Genomic DNA, 22416 nt, shown 5'->3' on the forward strand with positions numbered 1-22416 from the left:
TCTTCTGCCTGGAATTCTAATAAAACAAAAGTTGTTGAAGAACAGCAAGGGAAGTCTTGCTCCCCAGCATCAGGCACAAACCTTCAGGTATGTCATTAGTTCTGTGAGTGGGAATATTTGTTGTTCATGGAGATTCAACTCAAGTAGCATGGATGTCTTGGTCTCTTTGGAGCTGCTATTACAGAATACCGCAGACTGAGTAATTTACAAAGAAAAGAAATGTATTTGCCACCGTTCTGGAGGCTGGGAAGTCTCATATCAAGTGCTGGCATCTGGTGAGGGCCTTCTTGCAGTGTCATCTCATGGTGGAAGGCAAGAGGTTGAGAGAGTGAGAGAGGGGTAGCAAGAGGAAGGCAAACTCACTTTTTTTTAAATCTCAGTTTTTGTTTACGCTTCGCCACTGGCAAGCTCACTTTTATAACAAACCTGCTCTTAGGATAACAACATTAATCCATTCACGAGGACAGAGCTCTCATGGCCTAATCACTTCTTAAAGTTTCCACCTGTCAACATTGTTGCATGGGGACTAAGTTTCCAACACTTGAACTTTAGGGAACACATTCAAACCACAGCAGTAGATGTGCCTGGCTCAAGTGGCTTCTCTTGCCTGTGAAGGAGGGGGCTTCCTTGGAGTTCTTCTGGAGTCCCTCTGAGTTAGGCACCTCAGAAAGGCTTCAGGTATTCAGATCCCTACCTGAGACTTCTAACTGTCTCAATGTTCAGTCAGGGGCAAGGCAGCTACTTGAAGAGCTCATTCAGGGGCAGAGATGCTCCTTTCTTATGGCTACACCATTGAGCTGTCCACCTTCTCTTCCCCTCCTGGACAGCTTGTATTTCTCCCCTTCAACCAGATTTCCTTGCTTTCATTAGGAGATCTGCTTTCATATAGGATACAACATTTAACTGGGCATTTGAAGCATTTTTACAAGCTGATACTGATTCTCATTTATCTGCAGGTAAAGTTACCCATCTTCTCCTTCAAGTTATATTCAGGTTCCCCCAAAGAGACCACTTGAAGTAATGAATAGCTTTGGAATTATGCAGTCCCAGATTTGATTCCCAACTCTGCTTCTTACAAGCTTTGTGAACTTGGGTCTTAATCAGTTTCCCCAAGCCTCAGTTTTAGCATCTCAAAAATGAGGATAATGTCTTCTATCACACAGGATTGCTTTGAAGATTACATAAAATAAAGGTTTGAAATCACTTGACATATCTTAGGCACTCAAGAAATGTGAGTTCCGTTCTCTTCATGTTTGGAATGATTACAATTTGTCCCCCTTAGGAATGACTCCACCATCTGTTTTCTGTATGTGTCATGCTAGGGGAGACGGTGCTGAATTACATACTGAAAAATTCAGCAGTGTTGTCCAGTAAAAAACCAATAAGACCTGTTAATTAACTAGATTTTTTTCAGCCCCATGCTTTTGTAGAACAAGACCAATGAAAGTGATCAGGAAATGATTGTCATATCAGCTGAAATAAAAAGGGGATTTTAAGGCGCGCACTGAGAGCTTGTGTTCAGAATGACCTCAGTTATATGCATAGTATTGCACTGGGGTCACCAGTGAATGTTTTGAGTATTGACTCTGAACACACTTAGATTCCTAATTACCAAATAAACACCACATTCATTATTCACTCTCATATTTGATTGGCCTAGATGATTCTGACGGTCAGAGGATTCCAAATTCTTGAACTTCCAGTTAACCAAGGTTTCCTTAAATAAATGTCCAATTAGCACTAGTAACCACTGCTTCACTTAGAGATGAAGATTGGTTGCCAGAGTTGGATACTGACTCTCATATAACTAATTTCAAGGCCACAATAAAAAAAATCCAGAAGCTTCTAGTCAGCAAGTAACAGCTAATTACACTCAAGATCCCATTAGAAATTTTAGCTTCATTTAAATATCTTTCTGATTTAAATATAAGTGTTAGTAATTTGGTTATAATTTTTAGTAATTTAGTGTTAAAGTATAAGAAACAGTAATATAATAGACGACAAGGCAAAACTATGTCTGCATGGCATGATCACTGATGCATTGCTATACTATTTCCAATTCAGTGGAGAGTCAATTTATTCAAAAATTAAAATACTAAGTCTAATATTTTCTGAGATGGCAGGATTTCATCAGGGTGTATCTATAATGATTTTCAATGGATTGGCAAATTTATCAATAAGAGACCAAAGTTCTGCCTCAAAATTTAGCATATTTAGCAGCAATTAGACTTGTATATGAAGTATCAGTAGAAAACATGAGCTATGATTTGAATGTGTCCCCCAAAATTTATGCATTGGCAGCTTAATTCCCAGTGTGACGGTGTTGGGAGGTGGGGCCTAATGGGAGGTGTTTAGGTCATGAAGGCAGAGCACTCATAAATATGTTAATACTGTTATATAAAGGGCTCATGGGAGTGGGTTTGCCCTTTTTCACTCTTACCTTTCTGCCTTCCATCAGGTCATGAAGGAGCAAGAAGGCCTTTATAAGATGACAGCATCTTGTTCTCAGACTTCCCAGTCTCTAGAACTGTGAGCCAGTAAATTTCTGTTCATTATAAATTACTCAGTCTCAGGTATTTTATAGCAGCACAAAATGAATGAAGACAACATTCATTACTAAGCCACTGTGGTTCTTTTCTTAGGTTGATTCTGGAAGATGATACTTAATTCTCTATCCTGCCACTTTACAGTTCATTCTTAATTGTACATAGCCAAGCACCGTAATACTAACTTTAGCAGATAAAATATACAACTGACATCAAACTATAGTTTGTTTGGTTGTCACTTACAGAGTTTTCTTTGTACTTTGCAGAGTGCCTTGTGTTAGATGCAGAAACAAAGAAAGCTGGCTTCAGTATTAGAGAACCAGGACTGGTAATAAGGGATACTATCTATTAGCATAGGAGTCAGAAATAGATTAGAAACTCGAGAAAGAGTGATTTCCTGTTTCAACACCTTTTATTTCTCACCCCCACCCTTTGGTTCAGATAATAATGTCTATACATCAGGCCAAGGAAAGAAGAACAAGAAGGAGAAAATAATCAGGATGGTACATCCACTGAACAATCAATGTCTAAATAGTGGAGAATTCACTAACAATTATATACATTTTGGCACTGCTAGCCAAATTTTGCCAAGGATATTCTACTAGCCTTTCACGTAAAAATACCTTTGCCACCAACCCTTGAAACCTATGAAAGTCATTTGGGCCTAGGTATCTTGAAAATAACTGGAGATGAGAACATGACTGTACAAGGATGCCTGAATTAATGCAGTCTGAAAACAATCTTGTGACTTGTTTATACATTTGTGCTGAGAAGGCCTGGATCTGGATGTTCTAGGGTTACTGCTCTTGTATTCAAGTAGACTACAGTGAATAAGTTTCATCAGATCTTTCAGATCTCTAGCTGTTTTTGGCTCTTAACTATCCAGCTAGAATCTTATTACTAGGGTTTCATTATCCTAATTCAGGCAGACAATGAGTAACCAGAAGGAGACTCTTACTGATGAAATCAAACCTGAAAAGCTGCCATCTTGAAAGCTAGCAAATTAAATGTCGGTTGATCAACAGAAAGCAAAAAATGTCCATGTCACTGTAACTTTAATCAGAGCATCATAATGATGTTACTTTGGAAGTGAGGTGTCCTTTTTGTGAAATTTTTAACAATGGGAAGTTTTATCAATGAGACCAAAGTTCTGCCTCAAAATTTAGCACATTTAGTAGCAAATAGACTTGTATATGAAGTATCAGTGGAAAATACCTGCTATGATTTGAATGTGTCCCCCAAAATTTATAAATTGGCAGCTTAATTCCTAGTGTGACAGTGTTGGGAGGTGGGGCCTAAAGGGAGGTGTTTAGGTCATGAAGGCAGAGTGCTCATGACCTAAACACCTCCCATTATCTGAGTTTAAGCAACTCAAATAAACTGAAAAGAACTTAGACATGAGTGATGAAAATGATGAAGGAGGTGGAAAAACTGATTTATGAGGGAAGATGAAAAGATTTTTAACATGGATAGCTTGGCTAAGTGGAGAACATAGATCCTTTGATTAATAACTATGCATTCTTGAAGTGCATAAGCACTAAGAAAAAATCAGTAAGATTTTGGGTGTGGAAACATGAATAATGGAATCAATTAGCTACAGGAAAATAGGCTGAATATAAAATATAAAACATTTATTTCTGGATTTTTCAGATGTGCCTCCTGAGGCGCTTTCAATGTTAAATATTTTCTAGTAAAATGGATAGGCTCTTAATATTTTTAAGCTTAAATAAAAAAGCAAAAGAAGTAAAAGCTCTGAAGGGTTTTTAAAGGATACATTTTGTTTGCAGGGGCAAGTGATTGGATTTTGTGTCCTAAACCTAGTATAATTGGGTGTAAAGCCACAGAAGGGATTCTAGTTTCTCTCTGGAAAGTTTATCTTGGGGATCTGGGGGAGACTGAGAAAAACGACTGCTAGAGCTTTGCCACTAGTGGTTCAGGCCTGAATGCACTTTGTCACCTTTTATGAGCCATCTGGTTTCATTCAGAAGTCGGGAAAGTCTAGAATTCAGAAATATTAATGAAATATATTGGCATGATCATACTAGGATGTGACTGCCAAGACAGAGGCTGCAAATGACCTGAGATAGGGCAGGAGGGAATTCAGAGATTCCAGGCAGGGTGGCACAGTGACTTAACAGATGTACTTGGATGTCAGTCAACCCCACAAACCCAACACACCTTGAAATTCAGGGTGCACATAACTGTTTCATTTCAGGCAAGTGCCTAAACTTTCCAAGCCTCAGTTTCTTCTTCTGTAAAGCGGGGCAGCTCTAGGGTTGTTGTGAGGATTATATTCAAGATTGTATGTAGTGAGCTCAGTGCAGCACCTGATTCATAGTTCAGTAAGTCTTGGTAATTGTTGTTATGAGCCCTGCACTCTATGTCCTCCTCACTTTGGCCACACATCTTCTATAGGTGAGTGTCAGTCATGGGCCACTGGGGAGGTTGATCCGGGAGAGAAGAGATTCTCATCAGTCTACGAGAAAGCATGGGCTATTTTACATTTCTATGTTACAGTAAATCCTCCATGGTTTAAACTAAAATCTGAATAACCTGACATGCCTCAATTAAAATATTCTAATAGGAATTTAGTTTTATAATATTTCATTATGTATAATTGATCTGTTCATTTTTCTTCTTTTCCTGACTCTTAATTTTCTAGCTTTATTTGTATTCCTTCTGTTACTGATTTTTAAGTTTCTAATTTATATTTTACTATGACTTTGTATTTCCTGGTCTTCTTATAAGTTACCTAAAATCCTTTGTGAAAGAAGTGAGGATATAAGCAAATAAATGAAATATACATAGTTTAAAAACTTGTAAAACATAGTTATATATATATATATTGTTTAAGTATATATGCGGCCAGGCGTGGTGGCTGATGCCTGTAATCCCAGCACTTCGGGAGGCTGAGGTGGGCAGATCATCTGAAATTAGACGTTCGAGACCAGCCTGGCTAACATGGTGAAACCCCATCTCTACTAAAAATACAAAAATTAGCTGGGTGTGGTTGCGGGCACCTGTTTCCCAGCTTCTCGGGAGGCCAAGGCAGGAGCTAATCACTTGAATCCTGGAGGCGGAGGTTGCATCAAGCCGAGATCGCACCACTGCACTCCAGCCTGGGTGACAGAGCAAGACTTTGTCTCTGCAAAAAAAAAAAAAAAAAAAAAAAAAAAAAAAGAACAAAAAGAAAATATGCTTGTGGCATCAAACAATAAAGAAATTCATGTCGATGAAAAATAGCAAATTCAGGATGCTGATTTCTTCCTGGGGGAAGAAAATGGAATTTGGGAAAGAGAATCCAGAGGACTTTAGTTATCTTGGTAATGTTTTGAGTGGATATGGGGAAATCAGTGGAGTGTAGGCTTGGATAAAATGACACGATCTTCACTTTCATGATCCTGGGAAAGTTGGTGTAAAGGCTGACTGACAATACTAATATTAACAATCCAAAGGTGATGAGGACTCTGAAGCACAGTTGGCTTCTGCACGTGTGATTTGTTCTCTGTGCTTCAGCTTGAACTTTCTGATAGTGCTAATGTTCCTTGCTGGTATGAATATTTTCTGTCATTATTTTATTTTCGGGGAGCTCTCTGTACATACAAAGTTTCTATTAACAGATTTGACATCTAAAGTTGTTAACACCAAATGCTTTACAAGCACCATCTAATTCAATCACTACTTAAATATCTTTATTTTCTCCTCCTAAATTCTTTCTGGATTCTATTCTCAGAATCAGAGCAGAAACAGCTAAATTGAAACTCCATCCTCTCTCAGAAGGATACTCAGCAGTGATGTCAAGGAATGCATTTTTAGGTATAGGACTTGGCTGAACTGGCTTGCCTGGGTTAATTGCTGTGAAAGCATGGCTCTGGCTTAGGAAGGCCTAGAAAAGGAGCAATTGGAAATTAGAACTGGAAATTGGAAAATAACAGGAAAAGGGATCAGAAGCATAAGATGGGATCTGTTTGCCAAGCACAGTTGGATACATGGGCAAGGAATTAAGTTTGGTAAACCAATAAACATCTAAAATGTGAGTCAGATCAGGACATCAGATGAGGAAACTGAGGCTTTGAGAACATAACTTATGTGTCGATGACCACATAGCTGGTAATTGGCAGAGATTGTCTCAAATATATATCTATCTTACGCTAGAGCTCCTTCCCTTGATCTCTATGTTATTAATTTATGTACAAATATTAGTTACTTTTACTCAGCTGAGCAAATATGTAAATTCATTCGTTTTTCTATAAAAACTTAATTTCTATCTCAAGCCCTCGTTTCTGATGCAAACATTTTAATTTAGTCATCATCAGGGAATCTCAGTCACGTTTATGTTTGTTGTCTGTCATTTCAGGTTTGAAGTTGTTCGATTGCACCTTTCTTTTCCCTGGAGTTAATGTTGTACTCAGAAGGCCATGCAAATGGAGGAGAGATGTTTATTTCATGATTTGGATTTGTTTTGGTGGCCTGCTGGGGCCCATTCATTTGGCCCTAAGGCTTGTTTCTACCATAATGGTGCCTGTGACATTTTGACGGCATTTTCAGCTGAACCCCTACAGTATGGGCCACCTTGCAGTCCCTGCATCAGCACTCCTGTTGTAATTTCCTGCAGCTCACTAGCTCTCTGTCTTTCAGACAACCGCTATGCCCAGTCTAGGGAACCTCAGCAACCTTCGCATGGTTTCCTACTGCTTCTAGGGCTAGGTGCCCCCAGATCTCCCCTTTTCTACTCTGTGATGGCCACATCCCATTGGCAGAGCCAACTGCTTTCCAGAGACTTCACCTGAAAATGGATGCCCTGATCCTCCTAAGTTTGGATACAAACATTTAATTGAAGGGCTGAAGGCATTTTTGGCTCCCCATGGGGCCTGAGCCTGAGGACGCAAGGAATTAGGAAACAGCCTCCTTGCCCCCAACCCCTCTCACGAATTGTTAACTCTCACAGCATTCTCTATCTAGACTGGGGTAGGGGTGGAGAATCAGTCTGACAACATCTACTTCCTAATCCTTTGGTCTTATTTGTGGATCTAAAAACTTTTGAAATTGCTTGTCCAGTTGTTTCTTTGTGAGACTCTCTCTTAGGGCAAAATGGTCTCTGGGATCCCAGCCTAAGTAGGGGAGGGCCACTTCAGTGAGGGGTAGGGACAGAACAGTACAGTTAGTGCTTGCATGTCATTTTCCAATTTAAGTGAAATAATTACACCATGTTAGAGACATCCTTTTCGGGGGAATTACCAAGAATTCATAATATTTTATAGAAGTTGCTGATGTTGAAAATCTGCCTAAATACTTAGGACATTATAAATTTAGCAAAAGTTACTTAATGTGCTGCTCTGCTATTCAGGAACCTTGACATTTGAGGCAAATAAAAGGGAATAGTTATGTAAGTTATAAAATTAACAAGTACTGTGGCAGTTCATGAAATACCTGAACCAAGTCTGTCTAAGCGCAGGTGTTGGGAATTCAAGGGTAAGAAAAAGTTAGCATTGACAAGGGATGCTGATTATGTAGGCTTGTGCAGCGTATACCATCAATCATCTCTGTATGCACACGAAAAACCCCTGTTACATGATCCTTAAGGAATTGTCCAGATTCTTTTGTTCTCTTTTAAATGGTCTTATCCTGGACTCTTCTGTCATTTCCACATTCAAGCAGAAACCAAATTCTATCTCCAAATATTTGTCCTGGCTTTTCCATCCACATTAATACTACCTTAGTTTAGACCTTCATCATTGCTTGCTTAGAATATTACAGTAGCCACCTGACTTTTCCTGCTTCACCCAGTCCATCCTCTGCTTATATCAGGTATTCTTTGTAAAATACAAACCTGATATTTACTCCCTCCTTTAGAAACTGTGATTACTCTCTGCCATTTACAGAGTAAAATGCCAATCTCCAAGCAAAGTGTGCAAGCAGTTTTCTTTTTGTGTCTAACCTGTGTCAGCATGTAGATATGAATTCATTCATTCACTCATTCAATAGATATTTATTCAATGCTTTATGGAAACACATACAAATATAAATGGACACAATTTCAGCCCAGGTGAGGGGGGGGGACATAAGTGAGAAACAGGCAGAAGGGAAAGATATATGGAAACATGCAAAAGATACAGTGGAAACATTGGACAAATTCTTCCAAGAAAGTTGGGAAAGGCTCATCTTCCCCTACTACTTACTTTCCTTCTCCAATGTATGCTTTAATTCAGCTGCTCCACGTGCATATTCTTTTACCTCTGCTAGATTGTGAGCTTCTTGATTGGCAGGTTCTTCTTTCTCATCTTTGTATTCTCAGCATTGCCTAACACAGTTCTGGTACATGGTGGCACACGGCAACCCTTGATTGAATTAGAACATTATACCTAATTTTCCCTGAAATAAGCTAAAGTTGGGAGATATATTTGTTATTGAGGGATGTTCAATACACAATATACATTGTAAATTATGTAACAAATGCATAATAAATGGCATTTGTTACTGACAAATAATATAGTTGTTATTTCCCCTTAGTGCACCTTTAGATTTTTGCCTTAATAGCTTCTTTCCTTTTGAACCACAGCTGAAAGCTATGTGTAATTTATTTATTCATGCTAATCATCTAGACTCTATACTTAGCATTTTCAAGGTATGGGATTCTGATATTTGTAGAGGGGCAAGCTACCTGATGATAAGAACAAACTTAATATAATAGAGCAAATACAGTGGCAAAAGCGCTGAGGGGTGGAGTAAAGAAGTCAGATTGGTCATAGAAAGCTTCACAGAGAAAGTAAGCTTCAAGCCGGATTTTCAAAGAGGGACAGGTGAAGAATGACAAGTTGAAGCCAGGAGAAAAATATCCCATGAAAAGCAGTTCATATGCAGAGGTCAGAATTATGCTTAGGGCATGAGAAACAAATTGGTGAGACTACAGGTAGTTAAGAGGACATTTAATATTTATAAATGCTTATATTTGTGCTTGCTTATATTTAGTTTTTAAAGATCTATTTTTTGCTTATAAGGCACTTGGTCAGCAATTTCTTGATTGCCTGTATTAATGGCAGGCGGTAGGAAAAAAAGGAAAAAATTAAAGTTCAGATAGAGTCGCTTGGACATTACATTAAATTAATTTTAAATGCATAATGTTTCTTATTTTAAAGTAGAATTTTAGTATAAGCTGGTACAGTGAACCATCATTAATGTCTTCTGAACTGCCCTCCTTGCTTCTAGAACAGCATTCCCCTTCCTTTTGAAAGCCTCTCCAATCCCCTTTTGCACCTTGTTTTCCTGCTGGAAGGTTTGAATATTAGTAACATCTTGTCTGGACATAGGGGTTGACATCAGACCCAAGCTGAACCAGTTCATTCCAGGGTCTTTCCAAAATGGACTAAAGGAAGAGAGGTAATCCCTTTTGGTGATGCGTGAAGCTCAGAGATAAGAAGTGAGGAGCAGTAAACTGACCTGTTTCTGACCCTCTAAACAAGGCAGTCTGAACGAAAGAAACTGGAACTCCAGAGAGAAGACTTGAGAGACTGCAGAGCATCCCGGTCATGCTCATTCTGATGGTAATGAGCCCCACCTATTTTCTTTAAATCCAGCTGACACCTGGCACTATCCATCGCAGGCTTCTTGGCCAAAAAATTCTCCCTTTTGCTATGCAAGGTTCAGTTGCGTTTCTGTGATTTGCAGCAGAAGCTGACCTGGGTAGTTGAATGACTAACAGAATGATAAAAGGGACTTTATATTATTGTCAGGAGACTAAAATGAGGGCTAATCAGTCCTTACTTTCTACTATTATCAATGTCTCTGATTCAAAAGAATGCCCAACCATTGTTAGGATGGTCTACATTAGAGCACCAATCCCTCAACTTCTAGAAATGCAGGTCGTTAAGAGTCATATTCTTGCACTGGGTCTGAGTATCAGCTTTCTCAGTGTGGTAGAAAAAAAAAAAAAGACTTTAGAGTGTAGAAAAGAGAATCTGTTTCCTGGCAACTCAGGGTCCAATAGGCTCTTGTTGCTTTAGGTGCATCTGACATTCTACAAGGGGACAAAAGGACTCCTGCCGTGGCCAGATTGTTTTCATGTTTTATCTGTTTTCTTTTGGAAAAGGTTGTACCCTCTGCTTTGTTTTGTGATGTCTAGGGGTACTGCGTTTATGTGGTTTTTGGCAAGTTTGCTTGACCCTGAATTCCTCAAAGTGTCATTTTCTGAAGCAACAGAATATGTACTGAAGACGCTTTTGAAAAACAAAAAGCTTTCAGGAGGCCCTTGATTGGCTAAGGGGTAATTATTAGCCATAATGAATATACTAGTGCTGAAACATTTTGAAGTAGAAGCAAAACATTAAAAAAATCTGGCATTAATAAATCCATGCAAGAACGCTAGGATGTCTTTCAATGATCTCTTAAGATTTGTATTATCGTTACCAACTTTGCAACAAACATTGATTTAGTAGGGTCTAATAAAGAACATTTTGCCAAGATCTGGGGACACCAAATTGAATATAGTTCTCAACTTGTAGGGGATTACAGTCCTATACAGAAATCAGGACACAGTTTGGTATAACGAGAGTATCCCCAGGCTACACAGGAAAAAAATTTCACAATACTAGTAAAAAGCAAATACCAAAACTAGCAATATTTACTCTAGCTCATCTACTATGGATAGTGGCTTAATATTTCCACCTCAAATTTCTCGCAACTAGTTTAGTAATCCCCAAGAAAGGATCTCGCTTGTAATAACCAACATAGACTTTTTGTTTATTTAAGTAGAGTCCGAGGGTCTCATCATGCCTTGCTGGGAAAGGTCTTCTGGCCAGTTGGAAAGCCTAACATGTTCTCTCTTTTGCTTTTGGTTTTTCCTGGATGTCTTGCCAGCATTTATCTGTAATGTCATCCTCACTTCTTCTTTCCATGTGTAGGTCAATCTGGCTTCCTAATCAGGCTTCTATGATTCTCTCTTTTGATGTCTCATGGATCCCTGCCTCCTGCTCAAGAGAAGAAAATGCTTTCCATGCCCACTTGTTATGGCTTATTGCCTGGGCTAAAAATAAGCATTGCTTTGTGTACTCTGCGTGTTATAGAGATCCTAATGGAGCAGCACTTTTATTTATTTACTTTATAAACTCTAAGTCCCCAAACTTTTGAGTAAGTTCTGCTAGAGTTATTGGACAGCTGGGCCAGGGGACAATGAAAATAACATACTTCAGGTGGCACTTAAAACTACCCTCCTCTCCCACATGGACCCACTGGGCTTGAATGAATCTTTGTTAATAATAAATTACTTTCATAAGCTGCTTCTTTGCCTTTTAGGCATATAGGTCTCCTGCTATCTTACCTCAATGACTCTCTACACATCTATTTATTCAATAAAATTATATCAAGTACCTACTGCGTATCAGTTACCATGCTAGGGCTTGGGGATATGGTGGTTGATGAAAGAGTCTCAGTTTCTGACATCATGTGTCTTAGCAGGAAAGATTACAGCTCCAAAAGTCTGAATATTTAGTGGATAGACACCTTATGTTGGCTTCTAACCTCTGCTGCAGAATAGATGAACAACAGAAGGTTGCATTTGTTAAATGCCAAAGAAAGAGGTGCCATAGGACTGTAGAGAAACAGTTGATTACTGCAAAGGCTGGACTACACTCTGTGAAGGAGAAGAGAATTGAGACTTGAGGGAAAGAGAAGACTAGATGACTGGAAATGAACAGGAATGGCATTCCAGGAAAAATGCATATGGCAGGTCCAAGAAGAGAGACGCCATATAGCACACATGCACGTCGGGAAGGATGCTCAGGACGTATGGAGTCACACTGACCTTGATTCAAATCTTAGTTTGGCCACTTGTATGGATGCATAACCTTAGACTAGTTCATTAAATTCTCTGAGCCTCAATTTCCTCTTCTGTAAAATAAGGATATCAAGACCTACTTCAAGAGTTTTCACAAGGATTCTAAGAGTACAAAGTCTATAAATAGAAATAAAACATAAATAATAGTGTCTAGCATGTAGTAAGTGCTCAAAACCTTATAAGTATTGCCAATTTGGTGGAGCAGATGATGCGTGTTGGGCAAAAGAAGTATTACTCATTTTGTATTTCTTTTTTCAGAGTTTACCTATTGCTGTTGAGTGGGTGAAAATGACTAAGAAACACTCTCTGCTTTGTTTCCCACAAGAGGAGAAAAAAAATCAGATGAAAAAATAATGAGGGAAATGGACTATTTTCTTTAACTTCTTTCAACCTCTCATGTGTTGAGAACTTGAATTACTGAGGCTGATTCTGTTTGTGCACAGGACAAGACACATTCTGGACAAGTTGGAGGCTGGTGGAGGAGACTCCTTTTCTCCCAGTGCTCTTTCCTCGCCTAGCAAAGCTGGGGGCACTGAGGAGGGTGGACTATTGTAGATTTTAAGGTGATCTGACCATATCACTGTCATGTCAGAATATCAAGTTGAGTCACTTGAATTTAAAAAGCTATTAATAAACAGGGCTCTATGTTTCTCCTTCTCCTCTTAAAACACCAGTTTCTAAACACTCTGCTTTATTTGCTCCAATTTTGTCTTAACTACTTATTTGTAGAAAAATAAATTTTACTGACCAAGTGAACTTGCTCAATTCTACTGTTGGCTTCTAATCTGTTTCATTCCAATCACTTTAAACTCAAAATCAATTGTAGTGCTATATAAACGACAACTTCAAAGTAATGATGACATTTTACACTGAAAGGACAAAACAGATCAACACCTACATTTCTCTTTTAGATTCTTCATACACAGGCTTCAAACAAGTCCTTGTTGAAATCTCATCCGAGTTGCTGTTGGAGGTACAATAAAGTCATATTAGCAGGATCAGAACCAGAAATAATATGTCTGGTTCTGTTTAGTTCTTCATGTCTCTTTGCTAAAATAATGCAAATTCATCCCAGAAAATCTAAGAAAGAAAAGCCAAGAATTATCAGTTGGAGTAAGACATTTGGTAGTTGCAATAGAAATAACCAAAGCCAGGAAGAAAGTGAATGTATTCTGTTAAACAAAAGAACAAAAACAAAAAGTAGGATAAAAGAATCATTCACGGTAGGTGAATAGTCCACAAATAAGACAAATCGTAAAGAATTATTGCAAGGACAATGGTATACCAATATTGGGGAATGTCTTTTCTGAACTAAATGAGATAGAAGCCATTGAGTCTAAGGGATTGATTATAACAGGAAGAACCAAATGGAATTACGAATTCCAGTGGGTTACTTTTATTTTGAATTACCAGCAGATAGAAGAGCTCAGATGATTTAATTAGCCAAGGCATCACTGAATTTTTATTTCCTGCCCTTTATGTTCCTATTATGGCTTCTTAGCCTTTTTTTTTCCGATGTTAAGCACCATTGTATTATAGTAAATTGATTAAGTGCCTCATTGCAGCTTGCCAGTGAGAACTTCGAGGGTGTGAAACATGTCATGTTGAGTGTCCTGTGCCTGGCTCCAGACTGGGCATGAATTAGGTGCTCTGCAAAAATTGTCATGTGAATGAATAAATGAGTGTCCCTTTTCCCTGACAAATCACGCTTTCAACCCACTTCCTTGAGTACTCTTTAGATAGTCTGTTTATTCTTTTATGTCCTCTCCGTGAGTGAATTACCTCTGAAATCCAAGAAACATTAAAAAAAAAATGGAAATACAAAGTCACAAGACTTTGATTCCCAAAAGGATTTCTCCACTAACACAAAGTGTTTCATGTGTGTGAGGAGAGAACCAAAATCAGTCTGGCACCTTAGTGACAATAATTGACAGGCTAACAAGCCGTGCTTTGCCTGATAAATCGCAGAGGACTGGGTGTGTTTTTCATACCCTGCCAGTTTTAAGCTTCTATCTGACAGCTGTCTGTCAAGCTGCAGCAAGAAGAACGGGCCCCAGGGAGACCCAGTGCTGCTCCCGAAAGCCCGGCTGGATATGAAAGTTGGCCTTGCTTTCACTACGATGCGATCTTTTTCTCTGGGTCTGAAACCTGAGATATTTTCATTATCCCAATTTGTTAGAAAGGTGGGTCTCTGGGATTTAGAGTCAGTTGCAGTGACAGGAACTTGCCTGTCCTTAAATTCTACTGCCTGGAGACAGCCTATTAAAGGAGATATAGATTTGAGAATCAGAGAGACACTTTTACGTGTGTGAAAGTAAGCAAATATCAATGCATTCCTGAGTCTGTCAATAAGAAGTGTGTATGACACTTGTTTCACAGAACTGTTGTGAGACTGGAGGTAACAAGACTGGAGTTTTGTTTGGCAATGTCTAGAGACATTTTTGTCTGTCAGAACTGGTGCTGCTGGCATCTAGAAGGTAGAGACTAGAGATGCTGCTCAACAACCTACAATGCGCAGGCCACCTCCTCATAAGAAAGAGGTGTCCAGCTCAAGCGTTAGTAGTGCTGAGGCTGAGAAACCCTGCTGGAGACCATTCCTGCTCTAGCCCTGTGCAGAAGCTCATGGGTTTAATTTCTAGAGAGTTTGCAGCCTCTTTCTCTTTAAATAAAGCCCTCTTTGGAAACCCACCAGCCAACCAGTGCTCCCCATTTAAAAAGGATTTGGGCTTTAATCTCTTAAAATTAGGTGAAACTAAGATTTAATTTTATATGTTCTGTAACAACTCTATTTTAGTGATTCAAAGAGCCATGGTATTCCTCAGATCTGAAACCTGTGCTATCTTCTTATGGTCTCACAAAATCCTCCAGAATATCTCCTCATACCAATGCTCATCCCTGGACACTCTCCATGGTGTGATGTGTGGGGTGTCTGCTCATGTGGGATCTGCTTTCTGGCTCCTGGCTTACTGTAATTATGGTGTCATTTTGTTGGAAGAGTTTACTCACCACCTTCAGTTTACTGGTCTATTATGGGCTGAATTGCCAATCTCCCTGCAATTCATATGTTGGAGTCCTAACCCCTAGTACCTCAGTATTTGGAGCCAGGGTCTTTGAAGACATAATTAAGTTAAAATGAGGTCAGATAGGTGGGCCTTAATTAACATGATTGGTTTCCTTATAAGAAGAGGGGATTAGACACAAACACAGAGAGAAGACCATGTGGAGACACAGGGAGGACATCGCCATCTATAAGCAAAGGAGAGAGGCCTCAGAGGGAACCAACCCTGCTGACAGCTTGATCTCAGACTTCCAGCCTCCAGAACTGAGAGCCAATAGACTACTGTTGTTTAATCCACCCAATCTGTGCAACTTGGTTATGGCAGCCATAGCAAATTAATACACTGGCCTTCACATTAAGTACACCATCTTCTAAATGTAAATAGGTGCATGTCTTCTGATTATCCAGTCCTTCTTTTTACTTATTCTGCATCCCTTTCTTTTTCTGTTCTTTCTTTCTTGTACTGGCCTGAGCTCTCCTTATACCACACTAGAAATCATGAAGGGAACTTTGAGGGAAGGCCTGTCCTTTCTCCTTCCCTAGGTTTTCATCACTCCTGAAGTACACAGTGTTTTAATATAGTGGTTCTCAATGTGTGGTCCCTGGGCCAGCAGCATCAGCGTCACCAGGGAACTTATTAAAAATGCAAATTCTCAGGCTTTCCCTCAGACCTACTGAATCAGAAACTCTAGGGATAAAGCCCAGAAATCTTCGTGTTTAAGACTTCCTGGGGATTCTTATGCACACTCAAATTTGAGACTCTAGTAATGGTGTCTTAAATTCTCAGAGAATTCTTTTTTTGTTCTCCACACGATCACTTCTGCCTACAAAGACTCTTCCATATCTGAATCTTGGAGTGACATATCATCCTTTTATTCAAATATCCTTCAGCTGCTTTAATACAGGGAAATCAGCAGTAGGTTCAAAGATATGGTGACAGAAAACTCAATTCTCTAATCATCCTTCCATCAAGATAGGAGCATTGGCTATTGCTTCTCCTGGAAGTTATTTTTCCCTGACCGAAGTGGAAATGTCTTTATCCCAAGTTGCAATGTTAAATATCCTTTTGTATTATCATCAGGCTAGAAGTTCCAGATTTCTGTGGTTTCAGATGAAAGGAAGAGGGGTGGGGATCTTAGTCATTTTAGATAAACAGTAAGAACTTCAAATTGTAAAGCATTTCTTAGGTACAAAGCTCTTCTTACATCCTGAAACATTAGTTTTCTCATCTGTAGAGTAATAGAGATAAGTAGATAAGTAAAAGAGATAATGAACTCACAAGTTTGTTTTAAAGCCTTATTAGCAAGCTAATAAACTAAAGCTAAAGCTAATCTAAAAGCTAAGCTAAAGCTTGCCAATAAGGCTTTAAAACAAACTTATGAGTTTCATTCTCTATCTCCCAGATGGGAAACTGAGGCTCAGATAAGTCATATGACTCAAATGGTCAGTCCTGGAAAGAGATAACTTGGGCCCCATTCTCTCTAACTGATACTTTCTGTTATGGTTTGGCTGTTTCCCAATCCAAATCTCATATTGAATTGTAGCTCGCATAATTCCCATGTGTTGTGGGAGGGACCCGGTGGGAGATAAAATTGAATCATGGGGGTGGTTTCCCCCATACTGTTCTTGTGATAGTGAATAAGTCTCATGAGATCTGAGGGTTTCATTAGGGGCTTCGGCTTTTGCATGCTCCTCATTTATTCTTGCTGCCACCATGTAAGAAGTGCCTTTCACCTCTTACCATGACTCTGAGGCCTCCCCAGCCACGTGGAAGTGTAAGTCCAATTAAGATTCTTTTTCTTCCCAGTCTCAGGTATGTCTTTATCAGCAGGATGAAAACGGACTAATACAGTAAATTGGTACCAGTAGAGTGGGGCATTGCTGAAAAGATACATGAAAATGTGGAAGCGACCTCGGAACTGGGTAACAGGTAGAGGTTGGAACAGTTTGGAGGGCTTAGAAGAAGACAGGAAAATGTGGGGGAAGTTTGGGATTTCCTAGAGACTTGTTGAATGGCTTTGACAAAAATGCTGATAGTGATATGGACAATAAGGTCCAGGATGAGGTGGTCTCAGATGGAGATGAGGAACTTGTTGGGAGCTAGAGCAAAGATGACTCTTGTTATGTTTTAGCAAAGAAACTGCTGGCATTTTGCCTCTGCCCTAGAGATATGTGGAACTTTGAAATTGAGAGAGATAATTTAGGTATCTGGCAGAAGAAATTTCTAAGCAGCAAAACATTCAAGAGGTGACTTGGGTGCTGTTAAGGGCATTCAGTTTTAAAAGGGAAGCAGAGCATAACAGTTCAGAAAATTTGCAGCCTGACAATGTGATAGAAAATAAAAATCCATTTTTCTGAGAAGAAATTCAAGTCGACTGCAGAAATTTGCATGAGTAATATGGAGCTGAATGTTAATCCCCAAGACAATGGGGAAAATATCTCCAGGGAATGTCAGAAATCTTCATGGCAGCCCCTCCCATCACAGGCCTGGAGGCCTAGGAGAAAATGGTTGTGTGGGTTGGGCCCAGGTGTGTGCAGCCTAGCAACTTGGTGCCCTACATCCCGGACACTCCAGCCATGACTAAAAGGGGCCAAGGTACAGCTCAGACTGTTGCTTCAGAGGGTGGGAGCCCCAATCCTTGGCAGCTTCCACATGGTGTTGAGTCTGAGGGTACACAGAAATCAAGAACTGAGGTTTAGAACCTCCACCTAGATTTCAGAAGATGTATGGATGCCCAGGCAAAAGTTTGCTGCAGGGGTGGGGCCCTCATGGAGAATCTCTGCTAGGGCAGTGCACAAGGGAAATGTGGGGTCAGAGCCCCCACACAGAGTCCATAATGGGGCACTGCCCAGTGGAGATGTGAGAAGAGGTCACTGTCCTCCACACCCCCGAATGGTAGATCCACTGACAGCCTGCACTGTCAAAGTCGCAGACTCTCAATGCCAGCCTGTGAAAGCACCCAGGACGGGGATTATACCCTGCAAAGCCACAGGGGCAGAGCTGCCCCAAACCATGGGAACTCACCTCTTGCATCAGCATGATCTAGATGTGAGATCTGGAGTCAAAGAAGATCATTTTGGAGCTTTAGAATTTGACAGCCTGTTGGATTTCAGACTTGCATGGGCCCTGTAACGCCTTTGTTTTGGCCAGTTTCTCCCATTTGGAATGGCTGTATTTACCCAATACCTGTACCCTCATCTTACGTAGGAAGTAATAGCTTGCTTTGGATTTTACAGGCTCATAGGTGGAAGGGACTTGCCTTGTCTCAGATGAGACTTTGGACGTGGACTTTTGGATTAATGCTGAAATGAGTTAAGACTTTTTTTTTTTTTTGAGATGGAGTCTCGCTCTGTTGCCCAGGCTGGAGTGCAGTGGTGCGATCTCGGCTCACTGCAAGCTCAGATTCCTGGGTTCACACCACTCTCCTGCCTCAGCCTCCTGAGTAGCTGGGACTACAGGCACCTGCCACCATGCCCGGCTAAGTTTTTTTTTGTATTTTTTAAGTAGAGACGGGGTTTCACCGTGTTGGCCAGGATGGACTCGATCTCCTGACCTTGTGATTTGCCCGCCTTGGCCTCCCAAAGTGCTGAGATTGCAGGTGTGAGCTACTGCGCCTGGCCTGAAATGAGTTAAGACTTTGAAGGAACTATTGGGAAGGCATGATTGGTTTTGAAATGTAAGGACATGAGATTTGGAGGGGCTAGGGGCAGAATGCCATGGTTTGGCTCTGTGTCCCCACCCAAATCTCATCTTGAATTGTACTCCCATAATTCTCATGTGTTGTGGGAGGGACCTGGTAGGAGGTAATTTGAATCATGGGGACAGTTTCCCCCATACTGTTCTTGTGGTAGTAAATAAGTCTCACGAGGTCTGATGGTTATATCAGGGGTTTCCACTTTTGCATCCTCCTCATTTTCTCTTGCCACCGTCATGTAAGAAGTGCCTTTCACCTCCCGCCATGATTCTGAGGTCTCCCCAGCCAAGGAGAACTGTAAGTCCAATTAAATCTCTCTTTCTTCCCAGTCTCAGGTATGTCTTTATCAGCAGTGTGAAAACGGACTAATACACTATCATTAAAAACCAAGACAAAGCCCATTTGCTTTGTTTTTAGTACTGAACAGGAACAGTCCTGCCATTCAGGAGTCTCACTGACACGTGCTTGGGAAATGAATTATGTTTCTTTCTTCTTCTAGCTGTGGATTCATGGCCTCACTATATGCAACTAAGCTGTGTATCCATGGCCTCACTATAAGTAACTAAAATGTACAGGCTCAGAGGGCCCTGCTTTCAATTCTTTTCTGTAAATTTACAGAGGAAAGAAGACAGAATTCTTACTCTAGCTAACTGGAACTAGAGCTGAGTTAAAAAAAAAATGAATTGTGACAAATGCAAACTCTAAGTAGCATGGTACTGTCAGTGGTAGTGGGACTTTGGAGGGCTGGTGACAAACAGCTGCAGGATGCCCTGGAGATGAAAGTGCCTTTTCCTGAGCTCGCTGGTTGCCTACATAAAGGAGCCTCAGGACCTTCAGGGAAGGAGATGGGACATAGTTCGCCACAAGTGGGACAAGTTTCTATATTTGAATATTGACCATTGTCTGATGCAAAGACTCTGGTTGACACTACAAATAATCTACAAATAATTACTGAAAAGGCAACAAGATACCTTCATGTAGAACACTTTGCAGGAAACTGGAAAGCCCTGATGAAACTTCAGTGGAGCAGCAGAATGAGAGAGAGTGGTTCTTGTGTGTGCATGTGTGTGTGTGTGTATGTATATCAGATTGTCCTTGCAGAAACACAAATTTCTCAGAGCCATGGAAATAGAAATGGAATTTTCCTAGGTTCTCTTAAGGAGAAATGGATGCCAAGATTTAGGGTATAATTAGAGTTTGTTAAAGTGTGTTCTTGGCAATCACCTATTTAGTAGGTATTTTATGTCTTTTTTTTTCACCCTCCACTTCAAGGTGAGAGTCAATTGTTTGCCATTTTTTAGCTTTACTTTAAGTATTTTTAAAGAAGACGTGTTTTGTTGATATGATGAAATATGAGCAAAAAAGTCATGGCATATCTGAAAACCACATTAAGTGGGTATAGAGTCATGTTTTCTCCCTGGGAGTTCACCAAATATCTACAAAATGTGTTCACAGAGAAATGAGTTAGATTATCATTTGTGATTGACAATAATTTTCTCAATTCTATAAAATCATATCTACCTCAATGAAGGCAATCTACCCTAAATGCCATGTTGAGCTTATTTGCATAAAAAGCACAAAAATCACCCAGAAAGTAAGAAGCATAGAGAAACAGAAAATATTCTAATGGGTAAAGATAAGAGATACAGAGGATCAGTATTGAACTTCGATATCCAATTCATAGGAATTCCAGAAGAATGGAATACAGAAAAGCAAAGGGAGAAAATTACCAAGGAAATAATAGAAGACAGTTTCTCAAGACTCAAGAATGACATAGATTTTTAATTTGAAAGAGGACCATTGAGAGCCATGTGGAATGAAGGGAGACATCTAGACACAGCAACAAGGGTAAGAGAAGTGACAAAATACCTGATGAAGGAAAGTAAAACATAACTTAAAACAAACAAAAAGTACCTAATCTTTCTTACTAGCAGCAGCAGTCCTCCAGGTTCTGAAGAATTATTTGAAATTTAAAATGTGATGGCCTGTGAAATAAATCAGGTATCACAAATTAATAAACAGGTGTCCTTTTCAGACACACAGGTAAGTACTCAGAAAGTTTATGTCCTGGAGACTTTGCTGAGAATGTTCCCCAGAAAAACCAAACAAATAACTAAAAAAAAAAAAAAAAAAAAAGGTGGGAATAAGAATCAGTGGATCTATCTCAGGGACTCAATGAAAATAAAGTACATTTCTATGATAATGACATTGGGACACTGGGGATTGGCTCTAGATTCCTCACCCCTAAATGTGGGCAGGTATATTCCTTCTCTTAATGTGGGAGAGAGGAACAGTTAGGAAGTGAATGCCTCTAGATCTTCAGGGACTTCTTGAGTTCTGTGTTTAGTCAATTTCATACCAAGCAAATTGTACTATCTGAACTCTTGTGCGTTTTATGAAAGTACACACAAATCGATATGGAATATTTTTCATTTACCATAGAATAATGCAATCCTATATTTTATGTGATTGCATTTTTTTGGACCCCAGTCATTGAGTAATGGTGTGTTTTCTGTGTATCCCAGAAAAGAAACATTATATGCAATACATGTGAAAAGCAAATGATTCAACAGTTTTTTAAACTTTTACTTTAGGATCAAGGGTACATGTGTGGGTTTCTTATAAAATAAACTCGTGTCACAGGAGTTTGTTGTACAGATTATTTCATTTGTTGTACTGATTATTTCGTACCCAACAGATTATTTTTTTTGATCCTCTCCCTCCTCCCAACCTCCACCCTCAGGGGGGCCCTTGTCTGTGGTTCCCCTCTTTGTATCCGTGTGTTCTCAAAATGATCCGTATTCTTATTGGCAACCTATTACTCCCTTACCACTGAGGCATAATTTTGACTTTGCTTCAAGAGCACCATGCCTTCCTGGTTGTCCCAGTACCTCGTAGCCACTCCTTCTCAGACTCCTTTGCTGGTTCCTTCTTGTTGTTTCATTCTCTAAAATGATGGAAGATCCAGGACACAATTCTTATATTACTTCTTTTCTCTATCTGTACTCATCACTCTATACTCACTCCCTGGGTGATTTCATCTCATCTCATGGCTTTTGATACCATCTCAATACAGATTAATCTAAAATTAATATTTTCATTTCAGAATGTTCCCCAAATTTCAGACTTGTTTATCCAACTGTCTGCCTCTTGTGTGTTTGGTGGGCATATTAGATAGCACCCTCTTGACACATCCAAAATGCAACTACAGAACCTTTCAGTAAATGACAACCTCATTCAACAAGGCTTTAAAATGTGCCGTCATCCCTGACTCTTTCTTCCACATCT

At 39.7% G+C, this 22416-nt stretch overlaps 1 long non-coding RNA gene across 1 annotated transcript in view; it reads left to right on the forward strand.

Annotated features, from left to right (window-relative positions):
• Positions 1-22416, forward strand: part of LOC124904510 (uncharacterized) — a 54613-nt gene that overhangs the window by 18255 nt on the left and 13942 nt on the right. The window contains exon 2 of the long non-coding RNA XR_007066877.1: positions 20813-20976. This is a non-coding gene — a long non-coding RNA (uncharacterized LOC124904510). The remainder of the gene's footprint in view (positions 1-20812; positions 20977-22416) is intronic.

This window comes from Homo sapiens, chromosome 1 (assembly GCF_000001405.40).
Source record: "Homo sapiens chromosome 1, GRCh38.p14 Primary Assembly".
NCBI lineage: Eukaryota > Metazoa > Chordata > Mammalia > Primates > Hominidae > Homo > Homo sapiens.